Source organism: Homo sapiens, chromosome 17, assembly GCF_000001405.40.
Source record: "Homo sapiens chromosome 17, GRCh38.p14 Primary Assembly".
Lineage (NCBI taxonomy): Eukaryota > Metazoa > Chordata > Mammalia > Primates > Hominidae > Homo > Homo sapiens.
The window spans coordinates 31,139,917-31,152,298 of NC_000017.11; the positions used below are offsets into that span (position 1 = coordinate 31,139,917).

The window sequence follows — 12,382 nt, forward strand, 5'->3', positions numbered from 1 at the left end:
GTAGACTTGGAGAGACCACTTGTTCTTGGACAACAGTTAGAAGCATACTGCCCTAAGCAGTAAAAAGGTGATTGTTGAGGGCAGCAAGAGGCGGTGTAACATACCAGTTCATTTTTCTTTTCTTAGCAAGCATGTACTAATTGCCTTTTAAAACTCCTGACCATAGGGGATAAAACGATTACAAGAAAGATACCTTCCCTGCTCCCATGGAATTTACATTCTAGCACAACAGTGGATATTAAACAACGTATCATCTGGTTATGTAATTACAGTAATAAGAATCATGTAGGAGAGGTCAAGGAAGCTTACTGCTGTGGGGTTCAGGATGGCATCTCCGAAAGTATGAATAAGGAAAGTGGTGGGAGAATAAAAGGAGAGTGGCAGAGACTCAGACTGAGAGATTAATTGAGATAATGACAATTGTGGGATTCAATGAGGTGTATAATGTGTTTAGTGCCTGGTACTTGTGCTCAGTAAGTGCTAATTAGTAGTTGTTTATAGCAATACTGTTATCTTGGATGATCAAATAGAAGATCCCTAGCAAGTAATTTTATAAAGACAAAAATTTCGTGTCAACTCTGTAATAAAACAATATATCCTTAGAATCAGTTATCACTTAAAATCCTTATTTTATAGAAATTTTTGTGTTTCAAAAGTATAGCTAGGGCAAGTCCCCCTTCAGGGTGGATACTTAAAGGAGATGAAATCACTTCATAAAGGTGTCTGCACTCCCATGTTCATTGCAGTGTTATTTACAAGGTAGCCAAGATATGGAAACAACCTAAATGTCTGTTGATGGCAAATTGATAAAGAAAATGTGTGTGTATGTGTGTGTTTATACAATGGAACGTTATTCAGCCTTTAAAAAGAAGGATATTCTGTCATTTGCCACAACTTGGTTGGACCTTATGCTAAGTGAAATAGACCACGCACAAAAAGAAAAATACTATATAATCTCACTTATATGTGGAATGTTTTTAAAAAGTCAAGTATACGGAGACAGAGAATAAAACAGTGGTTACCTTGGGCAGGAGGAGGAAGGAAATGGGGTTATATAGATAATAAAATAGCAGATATATAGAATGAAGAAGTCTGGAGAGCTTATGTATAACATGAAGACTATAGTTAATAAAACAAAACTGTATTAAGGATTTTTATTAAGTAATTTAGCTGCTTGTAACACTTACACACACACACATAGTAACTATGATAGATGTTTTCACTGTAGTAACCATTTTGCTGTCTATACACATCCCAAGATATCAGCTTATAAATCTCATATACACAGATTTTTTTTTTTAAAGGTATTGTTGGGGCAGGGATCAGGCTTAACTTTGTGGTTGTATCTGTAGTACCCAGCACAGTGCCTGACACATAGAAGGTGTTAATCTTGTTTTTTTTTTTTTTAGGTATCTGAAATACTTACCAGAAATTCTATTCTTTCAGATGAGAGACATCTATGTGATTTTAGGTATTAATAAAAGAAATATTCTTCCTTTTTTCTTACTACGGTGTTGGTAGTGGTGCTCTTTCTTCAGGGACATCATTGATGGCCTTTTAGTTAGAATTTAAATGTTATCCTTTCTGTAGCCAGCAGGGATCTGTTGGGATAAAGTCTTATTTTTCTTTTCTTGGGAGTAATTGGTGCTTTCTAACTTTTCAGCACTTAGACTCACAATGTATTAGTTATCTATTGCTGCAAAACACATTACTTCAAAACTTAGCAGTTTAAAACAACAGACATTTATTATCCCACAGTTTCTATGGGTCAGGAAGATAGGGGTACCTTAGCTGGATGCCTCTGGAGCACGGTCTCTTGAGGTTGCAGTCAAGCTGTTGGCTGGGGCTATATCATCTGAAAGCTTTACTGGGGCAGGGGATGATGTACTTCCAAGTTCACTCCCATGATTGTTGGGAGGAGGACTTAATTCCGTTTCTTGTGGGCTTCTTCCTGGTTTATGTTTGTTACCTGGTGTCTAGAGCTGATGTATTGGGTACTTCCCCTCTAGCATGGTTATTTTCTTTGTTTTTTCTCTCATTTAGGTGAAAACTTAGGTGAATTTTAATGTAAACCCTACCCCCATTATGGTCTAAGGGGCCTTTTAGAAAATGAGTAGAATGTACACAGAGGCAAAAATTTTAGCCTGTGACCTTTTGAAGAATTTTCTAAGTGAAACTAGAAACAAATTAACCATTGTTCACAGAGTGCTTTGCTTAATGTTATGCCTTCTTTTGCTAAATCCTCTTGTTTGTTGAAATCTTACATCTTAAGTTGCTGATAGTTTGTTAATAGAGATCATAATTAAAAGGTGATTATATTTCTTCATGCAGTTTAGCTTTACATTTCTTCCATTATACCCAAAGATTTCTATAATATAGCAAGAAATGTTTTTAAAAAGTGTTTTTCCTCAATTGTGTGAAAGTAATGTATCTAACTGAAAAGAAGAGAAACTCATAAAAGTAAAAATTTTAAAAAATCACCTTATTCTTACCTCTCAAATACAATGACCTCATATTTTAAATTTTGCTCAAGGTTTTTTCCTCCTCATTCTAGGCATAATTATTTTCTTATATGTGTTTCAGTATTACTTTTTTTGTGAAAAATATGGTTACAAATGTGGTCTAATTTCATTTTGCACTTTAAAAATTATTAATGAGGCCGGAAATGAGGCCGGGCACTGTGGCTCATGCCTGTAATCCCAGCACTTTGGGAGGCCAAGGTGGGCAGATCACGAGGTCAGGAGTTCGAGACCATCCTGGGTAACACAGTGAAACCCTGTCTCTACTAAAAATACAAAAAATTAACCGGGTGTGGTGGCAGGCGCCTGTAGTCCCAGCTACTCGGGAGGCTGAGGCAGGAGAATGGCATGAACCCGGGAGGCGGAGCTTGCAGTGAACCGAGATCGCGCCACTGTACTCCAGCCTGGGCGATAGAGCGAGACTCTGTCTCAAAAAAAAAAAAAAATTATTAATGAGATGGTCATATTTTTATGTTATTTACTGATCACTTACCTTTGAATTGCCCCTTGTTTCTTGAAGTTTTTCCAATAAATATTCTTATTAATAGGCAAGACAACCTGATCTGTTAGTTATGTAAACTTTTTGGTAGCTAATTGTATGTGCATTCTTTTACCTCCCGTTTGTTTCTTTATTAGCAGTGTCTTTTTGTTATAGAATTTATACATTTTCTTGTAAGCAAATATCAGTGTTTTTATTATAGGTGCTGTATGTTTGTCTTGCTTAGGAAAATCTTTATTACTCCAATATTATTAAATTATTCTTTAGTATTTGTCCTAATAGCTTTATGGCTTTGTTTTTTTTAAATCACACACACACACTCACACACACACACGGACACACACACTCTTTGAGACGGGTCTTGTTCTATCACCCAAGCTGGAGTGCTGTGGCGCAATTATGGCTCACTGCAGCCTCAACCTCCTGGGCTCAAGATATCCTCCCACCTCAGCCTCCCAAGTAGCTGGGACTACAGGTGCATACCACCACCCCCAGCTAATTTTTAAATGTTTTTTTTGTAGAAACAGGGTCTCACTTTGTTGCCCAGGCTGGTCTGAAACTCCTGGGCTCAAGTGGTCATCCTTCCTCAGCCTCCCCAAAGTGCTGGTTTTACAGGCATGAGCCACCACACCTGGCAGCACCCATATATTTTAAAATTTAGTATGAATTAGTCTTTTCTTTTTGATGTGGCATAATTGTATTGACTAATCCATTCTTTACCATTGATTTGAAATACCACCTTTATTATATTAAATTTGTGTGTGAATATGAATATCTTTTCTGTGATTGCAATTAATTTGTACTTGTACAGATTGTGCTGTAAGAGCTTAACAGTATATTTCAGTACTTGGTCATGTCTCTTGTTCTTGTTTTTCTTTTCTTTTCTTTTTTTTGTTTTGTTTTTTGAGACAGAGACTCGCTCTGTTGCCCAGGCTGGAGTGCAGTGGCGCAGTCTCGGCTCACTGCAAGCTCTGCCTCCTGGGTTCATGCCATTCTCCCGCCTCAGCCTCCCAAGTAGCTGGGACTACAGGCGCCTGCCACGACGCCCAGCTAATTTTTGTTGTATTTTTAGTAGAGACAGGGTTTCACCGTATTAGTCAGGATGATCTTGATCTCCTGACCTCGTGATCCGCCCGCCTCGGCCTCCCAAAGTGCTGGGATTACAGGCTTGAGCCACTGCGCCTGGCCTTGTTCTTGTTTTTCAAAAATTTCTTTGGTATTCTCACAAGTTTATTCTTCCAAATTAACTTCAGAATCAGCTTACCATTTTAAATAAGCACCCCCCTTCTAAATCTATTATAACATCTCACTACTTTCTCTTCTATTCATATTAGCTTAACTTAAGCTACCATCCTCTCTTGAGTAAGACTGTTTTCTAACATACAGCAACAAGAGGGTTCTTTTTAAAACATAAATCAGATTATGTCATTCCTTTGCTTAAATTCGTTCAGTGCCTTTTTCCCCTGTCTTTTGGTTATCTATTGCTGTATAATAAGCTACTCCAAAGCCTTGTAGCCTAAAAACAACCATTTTATTGTGCTCACAATTTTTGGGGGTCAGGAATTCATGACAGGTTCAGCTGGGCAGTTCTTCTGTTCCATATTGTGTTGCTGACACTGGAGAATCCCTTCCATTATGGCTTCTTCAGTCACATGTCTGGCTCCTCAGTGTTTCTTGGCCTCTCTCTCCACAATGGCGTCCCATTCTTCAGAATCTCTGCATGTGGCCTCGGCTTCTCACAGCATGCTGATCTCAGAGTAGTCCCATTTTTTACATGACAACTGGCTTCTAGGAAGAGGGAAATAAAAACTGTCAGACCAATTAAGGACTATGGCCTGGAACTACACAGTGTGCCTTTAAGCCGTATTTTATTGGTCAGAATAGTCACTGGACCTGCTAGATGAAAGGAGGTAGAAAAATAAATTTCTTTTCCTAATGAGGGAGTGGCAAAATCTTATTGCGGGAAAGCATGTGGGATGAGAGATACTTGACAGTTGGAAAATATAATCCGTGACATCGTCAAATTCAAAATAAATTCAGAGTTCTTAAAATGGCCTATAAGGCTTTTCATGATCTGACTCCTGCTTCTTGAATCTCTGACCGCATCCCCTAGATTTTCCTCTTCGTTCCCTTTGGGTTAACCACATTGGCCCTCTTGCTAGGCTTTGAACATGCCACACCCAACATCAGATCCATTTTACTTGCAACTACTGCCGTGAATGCTCTTCTTTAGATCTTTGCATGGGTCTTCCCGTTCTCATTCATTCATTCATTTTGAGACAGGGTCTCACTCTGTTGCCCAGACTGGAGTGCAGTGGCACGATCTGGGCTCAATGCAACCTCCGCCTCCCGGGTTCAAGCAATTCTCCCACCTCAGCCTCCTGAGTAGCTGGGACTGCACGCATGTACCACCATGCCTGGCTAATTTTTGTATTTTTGGGTTTCACGAGGTTTCCCCATTTGGCCAGGCTGGTCTCAAATTCCTGACCTCATGTGATCCGCCCGCCTCAGCCTCCCAAAGTGCTGGGATTAGAGGTGTGAACCACTAATCCCATGGCTGGTCTTCCCATTTTTTTACTTCATTTAGGTCTCTGCTCAAATGTCACATCTTCAGAGAGCTTCCCCTGAACACCTTATCTGATAAATTCTTGGTTACTTAGAACTCCTTAATCTTGATTTTTTTTTCCTTTTCATAGAATTTGGTGCTGTTAGTAGGAGCCTGGGGGGCCTAAGTACCACTTTTCTTCCTTCCCTGCCTGGCTTCTGAGCAAGTTGAGAAATGAGTAAAGGTGGAGGCCAAAATATATTTTAAAAATTCTTCTGACTAAAGGGAGATGAAGTAAAGGGAACAAAAGAAGTATCATGAAGATTCTCAGATGTCCGACATGGGAAACTGGGTAGATTGTGGTACTATTTACCAAGACAGGAAACATGGTAGGAAGATTATGAATTAAGCTTTGGAAATGTTGAGTTTGAAGTGCCTACAAGTTATCCATGTGGAGAAACCAAATGGACATTTGGATAACACATCTGAAGCTCAGGAGAGAAGTTTCCATTACAGATTCAGGTTTGGTAGTTGTTCTAGTTTTCTATTGCTGTGTAACAAACTACCACAAACAGTAGCCTAAAACACACAAAATTACTATCTTACAATTTCTGTGGGTCGGAGTCAAGGCATTGCTTAGCTGTGTTCTCTGCTCAGGTTCTCATCAGCCTGAAATCAAGGTTTTGGTTGGGGCCTCAGTCTTATCTGAGGCTTGGGGTTCTCTTCCAGGCTCATTGGTTGTTGGCAGACGGTTCAGGAATCTGGGGAGACAAGATTTTTGGGAGCGCCAACCCAGATGTTTCCATTCCATGTGTCAGAGTCTTGTTCTTTCCTAGCCAGGCCCCTGATCTGGACGTAGGAGACCTGCTGCCTTTGGGAGTTCAACCTTTGAAGCCCAACACATACAGATTTAGATATCTAATCTGTCTGTCCATCCATCCATCCATCCATCCATCCATCCATCCATCCATCCATCCATCCAATCTGTATATCTCTGAGATATATAAGTGTAATAAATGGGCGATAATCAAGTGCTGGTTTTGGTCCTTAGGTTTCTCTGCCCTCCTGCTGCAGGAGAGGAGAATCTCTGTGTTTTCAGAGAGGTTCTCTGGCTTTCAAACTTAGTTTTCAATTGGAAGTTAATCAGCTTTTTTGTTTTTATCTTTTTTCTTTGAAATCAACATCTGGGAGTGAGGAGCACTGGGCAAATGCAGTGCAGGCCCAGCACCAGCTTTGGCCAACCCCCACGGGGAGCCTGGAGCGAGAATGGGAGCCTGGGACAAGAATGGCTCTTCTGAGTTGCCCAGAATTGCGGTGGCTGATGTGTCCAGGCCTTCATATTGCCATATCAATTAGTCATTTGATGTGGGTTATCTTGGGAAGGATATGACCTTGAACAGGGTTGTTCCTTGTAGGTGAGGCAATCCCTGAAGGGGCTGACTGACAGCACTCCCAGCATTTAAGGTAAGTCCTTTTTTGAAGGAGGAACTGGGTAGCACCTCAGTGTCTACCACGATTTCTCTGTATCCACCAAATGGCCAATTTGTTTTTGTTTTTTATTATCATTATTCATTCATGGATTTAAACATATATTTAGCAAACTTTCTGTTAAATTATGTGTATAGAAAAGGGCACAAATTGTAAATATACAGCTCAGTTAAATGTTCACAAAGTAAACACACCAGTGTAACCAGTATCCAGATCAAGAAATAAAACAATACTGTGAATCTAGGAGTCCTCCTCGTGTTTCCTTTCAGTCACTGTTTTCCAGGGATCTATCCTGACTTCTAAAATCATGGGTTGAATTTAGCATGGTTTTGAAATTTATGTAACATCATACAATATGTCTTGTTCTGACTTCTGTCTGTCAGTATTGTATTTGTGAAATTAAGCTCACAATTGTAAGTCATTCTCTTGCTGTATATTTTTTCATGGTATGACTATACCAGTTTTTAAAAACCATTTCTGCTATTAACATTTGGATTGTTCCAGTTGTTGGGAATTATAAAACATGCTGCTGTAAAACATTGTTGTGCATGTCTTTTGGTGAACATATATACATTTCTGTTGGGTATATATCTAGTGAAATTGCTGAATGTGTGTGTGTGTGTTCAGTTTTAGCAGATAATGCCAGTTTCCAAGGTAAGTACTGAGTTACATGCCTACTAGTAGCTCCTAAGATTTCCAGTTGCTGTAATTTGCTCCTGTTTGTAGAAGACACAGCCTTCGAGGGCTTATCACTGAGAACTGTATTTACTAAGGTCTCCACTAGCAGATTCTGAACTCTTTTGTCCTCTCGAAGCTGCAAGGCTTTCAAATTCTGCTTTGCTTTTCAGAAGTTTTTAGTTTAGCCTTTTTACCCTCTTCCACTCACTGAGGCATTTGAGATTCCCTCACGTCTTCAGTTTTGCCAATCTAGCCCTCAGTGAACACCAGAATCTCTGATGGTTTCTTCTTCCATTAGAGGTACATTGCCTGGGAAAAAAGCCTTATTTCTCAATCTGTTTTCCTGACCAGAATCTGCAAATGCCCCAGGGGAAAAGCAGCTGCAGAAGATCCCCTTACCTCATTATAGCTCACTCTTTTTGGAATCTTAGTGTTGCTAATCCCTATTCCTTCAGTAGCTCTCTGAATTCTTCAAACAGGTGATTTTTATATTTCATCTTTTGTTAGAAATTAAGTTTGTGGTGGGAGCTATTGTTTTGCAGTAAATTATTCTATCCTACATGGAAACAGTAGTATGGATTTAAATATATTTAATATGTTTCAATAAATTGCCATCCTTAAGTGTTCAAATTATTACACTTTTGGCCAGTGGGGGCCTCTTTAAAATTCATTCCTAACCATTTTTGGCTTGACCGTTATTAGTCAGTGCTGCTATCTGGTATGACAAGATGTTCCGGGGTCATTATGTCTTTTTTTTTTTTTTTTCCTCCAGACATAGAAGCAGCCATTTCCTAAAGGAGTCCAGATTCCTTTTACTGGGAAATGGTCGTTCAAGATTACAACTGAGTGAGGATTACTATGGGATTGGTCATTAGTCATTACTATGGGATTGGTCATTGTTTCTAGGCATTTTCATTGGACAGAAATAGAAATATGTTTTTTAAAGTACAAAATAAAATATCTTGACTTCATATAGATACTTCTATTTCAAATTCAAGACTACATTTCTTTACTTTACCATTACTTTTATTTCCCATGCTGAAAGTCTTGGGTTTTTAGAGGCACTAGGAGTCATAGAATTAAAATACCACAGAATTATTTAGTTCCTCTCTTTATACCATTAAATAATTAGATACATTTATACCATTAAAGAATTAGATACAGTTTTCAGTTGATTTGTTTATTTTTGATTTCTAGACTTCTTAAAATTTTAATTTTATGTTTATGTAAGTTACGTAGTTCTAAAATGAAATCTACAAAAACAATATGTATTCCATATAGAATATGGATTCTATCCTTTTCACTTCTACTTTCTTTTCATTTCCTAAAGGCAACCACTAATTTTTTTGAGCATTTCATTCTTCTACTGTTTTGTTTTGTTTCTTAATATAAGAAACATATATTTCTATCTCCTCCCTCTTCTTAGATGAATGGAACATACTGTGTATATTTTCTCCATCTTGTTTTTTTTTTAACTTAAGATGTGTCCTGGAGATTATTCTATCATTTAATGAATTTGGATTCATTTTTTGGTTTTACGTTACATTTTATACATGTCTTTTATTTAAGTGTCACTGTGTTCATGTTATTTGCTCTTTCAGCATATATAAATATATACACTTATATACATGTACACACACACACATACACACACACACACACACACACATTTTTTGAGACAGAGTCTTGCTCTGTTGCCCAGGCTGGAGTGCAGTGGGGCTTAGCTCACTGCAGCCTCTGCCCCCTGGGTTGAAGCAATTATCATGCCTCAGCCTCCCAAGTAGCTGGGATTATAGGCACGCGCCACCATGGTCAACTAATTTTTTTGTATTTTAGTAGAGATGGAGTTTCAGCATGTTGGCCAGGCTGGTCTCGATTGCCTGCCTTGGCCTCAGCATATATTTTTGTATTTAGAAAGATTTATTCAGACCAGCGTTCATACTGTGTAATGATAAGGAATTTATTGTAGAAATTAGATTGTATACAGTTTTGAGGGGACTAAGTGAGGTGAGTATCTGGAATGGGGAATTGGAGGATCAGAGGAGTCCACTAACCAGATCGTCCAAATCAATGACAATGGGTAGATAAGTTGGAGCTGTTGGGGAAATCTGAGAAGTCAAATATATCCAGCCACTGAAGTGAGATTATGAAGGAGGAGCTTGAGGAGGGCACTGTGGGAAGCTCTTGCCATGTAAGGTTTGTCTTACAAAGCCCTGTAGGTTTGCACCCAAGCATCTGGTGGTAGGTTTGGGCTAGTATTGGTCAGCAAAGTGACCACTGGTCCAAAGAAAGAGCTGGACATGGAGTGAAAGAGAGAGAGAGTAAAAGCTGGAACTTTCTGGGTGCCTCTGTATCTGTCTCTCATTGTATGTTACTGTGAAACCTTCAGAATAATAGCTGCTGCTTCGCTTCCACATTTCAAACAAATTTTATACAGGTCGAGTATCCCGTATCTGAAATGCTTGGGACCAGAAGTGTTTTGGATTTCACATATTTTTGGGTTCTAGAATATTTGCCTTTTACTCACCGTGATCATCCCTAATCTGAAATGAGCATTTCCTTTGAGAGTCATGTTGTTGATCAACAAGTTTGGATTTTAGAGTGTTGTAGGTTTCAGATTTTTCAATTAGGGATAGACAGCCTGTACAAATTACCCTTTAGACCAACTCTAACCAGAACCATATAGTGAGTGGGATCTGGGAAAGTAGTTCCCAGCTTAACAGTTAACACACCACGCACCACCAGTACAATTTGTGTTTTTGTTCTGGTGGTTACCATTATATTAATACCTTTATATGGTATTCTAATTTCCTTCTCTTTTGGGGTGGAGGGGTATTATGTGTTGGTTTTTTACTCTGAGCAATATTGAAATGAACTAGAAACCTCCTTTCCTCATCTCCTTTTTCCCTAGCATTTTACTCTCAGTTAATAACAAGACAATCAAGAAACATATTCTACTATTTATATGCTCTCACCACCCTCCCTCTCCTCATTTTGATAATTGTATTGTATCTATATTATCAAGTACATAAAGCAGTCACCTAATATACTTTCTCCCTTATTGCCACCATTCTCAGTTCTTTTAGAAAACACAGTGATGCTCCGGCTGGGCACGGTGGCTCACGCCTGTAATCCCAGCACTTTGGGAGGCCGAGGTGGGTGGATTACCTGAGGTCAGGAGTTCAAGACCAGCCTGACCAACATGGTGAAACCCCGTCTCTACTAAAAATACAAAAAAATTAGCCAGGCAATGGTGGTGCATGCCTTTAATCCCAGCTACTAGGGAGGCTGAGGCAGGGGAATCGCTTCAACCTTGGAAGCAGAGGTTATGGTGAGCTGAGATTACGCCACTGCACTCCAGCCTGGGTGACAGAGCAAGGCTCTGTCTCAAAAAAAAAATAAATAAATAAATAAAAATACAGTGATGCTCCACATAATGACATTTTGGTCAGTGATGGACTGCATATGTAATGGGAGTCCCTCAGTATTATAATATGGTATCATTACCTTTTCTATGTTTAGATACACAAACACCATGTGTTCAAGTTGCCAAGAGTATTCAGTACAATAACATGCTGTACAGTTTTGTACCCTGTATACCATATAGCCTAGAGGTGTGGCAGGCTATACTATCTAGGATTGTATAAGTACACTCTGTGATGTTCACATGACAGTGGAATCATGTAAGGACACATTTCTCAGAACATACCCCATCACTAAATATATTTAATGATTCCTATTAATGTGGATGTCTTTCCAATTATTCTGGTCATCTGAAGCATATTCTCTAGTATATCCTCCAGGAAAAGGAAAAGGGAACAAAATTTCCAGGGTTCTTGCCGTTTAGCACAGTTTGTCATTGCTATAAAATTGTCTCTCAGTATCTGGGACATTGGTTCCAGGAACCTCCATGGACGGTGAAATCTGTAGATGCTCAAGTCCCTGATATGAAATGGTGTGGTATTTGCATATAGCCTACACACATCCTCCTGTGTACTTTAAATCATCCCTTGATTACTGATAATACTTAATACAATGTAATACTATATAAATAGTTGTTATACACTATTATTTAGGGAATAATGACGAAAAGTCTGTACCTGTTCAGTACAGACATACTAAAATTTATTTTTTGATCTGCAGTTTGTTGAATGCATAGATGGAGAACTCATGGATTCAGAGGGCTGACTGTATTTGAATTCAGTTTGGCTAGATATAAAATCCTTGGTTTATGTTTTCTTCTTTTTTTAATTATACTTTAAGTTCTAGGGTACATGTGCACAATGTGCAGGTTTGTTACATATGTATACATGTGCCATGTTGGTGTGCTGCACCCATTAACTCGTCATTTACATTAGGTATATCTCCTAATGCTATTCCTCCCCCCTCCCCCTACCCCACGACAGGCCCCGGTGTGTGATGTTCCCCTTCCTGTGTGGTTTATGTTTTCTTTAAATATCTTAAATTTATTTTACTTTATTGTTTTCTGACATAAAATTTTGTCAAAGTCTGATGAGAGTCTAATTTTTGGGTTTTTTTTGTATAAATAATGTCCTCTTTCTGCCTGTAAGTTCAAAAGATTTTTTTTTTCTTGTTCACGGAAGTTCAAAATATGTTAAGGTATTGGTCATTCTGGGTCACTTTTCCAGGTGT

General features: G+C 38.7%; 1 protein-coding gene across 3 annotated transcripts in view, besides 5 other annotated features; it reads left to right on the forward strand.

Moving 5' to 3' along the window:
- NF1 (neurofibromin 1) overlaps positions 1-12,382 on the forward strand; it is a 282,699-nt gene that overhangs the window by 44,940 nt on the left and 225,377 nt on the right. The window lies entirely within an intron of this gene.
- Positions 4,128-4,722: an enhancer, noted in NCBI's record as "NANOG-H3K4me1 hESC enhancer chr17:29471062-29471656 (GRCh37/hg19 assembly coordinates)". NCBI's record gives its function as "activates a minimal SCP1, AML or CMV promoter by ChIP-STARR-seq in primed H9 embryonic stem cells {active_cell/tissue: H9 hESC(primed)}" and the evidence as "EXISTENCE:reporter gene assay evidence [ECO:0000049][PMID:30033119]".
- Positions 4,723-5,318: an enhancer, noted in NCBI's record as "NANOG-H3K27ac hESC enhancer chr17:29471657-29472252 (GRCh37/hg19 assembly coordinates)". NCBI's record gives its function as "activates a minimal SCP1, AML or CMV promoter by ChIP-STARR-seq in naive and primed H9 embryonic stem cells {active_cell/tissue: H9 hESC(naive and primed)}" and the evidence as "EXISTENCE:reporter gene assay evidence [ECO:0000049][PMID:30033119]".
- Positions 5,319-5,912: an enhancer, noted in NCBI's record as "H3K27ac hESC enhancer chr17:29472253-29472846 (GRCh37/hg19 assembly coordinates)". NCBI's record gives its function as "activates a minimal SCP1, AML or CMV promoter by ChIP-STARR-seq in naive and primed H9 embryonic stem cells {active_cell/tissue: H9 hESC(naive and primed)}" and the evidence as "EXISTENCE:reporter gene assay evidence [ECO:0000049][PMID:30033119]".
- Positions 10,834-11,146: a mobile genetic element, noted in NCBI's record as "direction; forward".
- Positions 10,844-10,881: a non allelic homologous recombination region, noted in NCBI's record as "MUW-1, UAB-1, and UAB-2 intron 1 recombination sub-region, recombines with the MUW-1, UAB-1, and UAB-2 intron 2 recombination sub-region within the NF1 intron 2 Alu-mediated recombination region". NCBI's record gives the evidence for it as "EXISTENCE:nucleotide sequencing assay evidence [ECO:0000219][PMID:26189818]".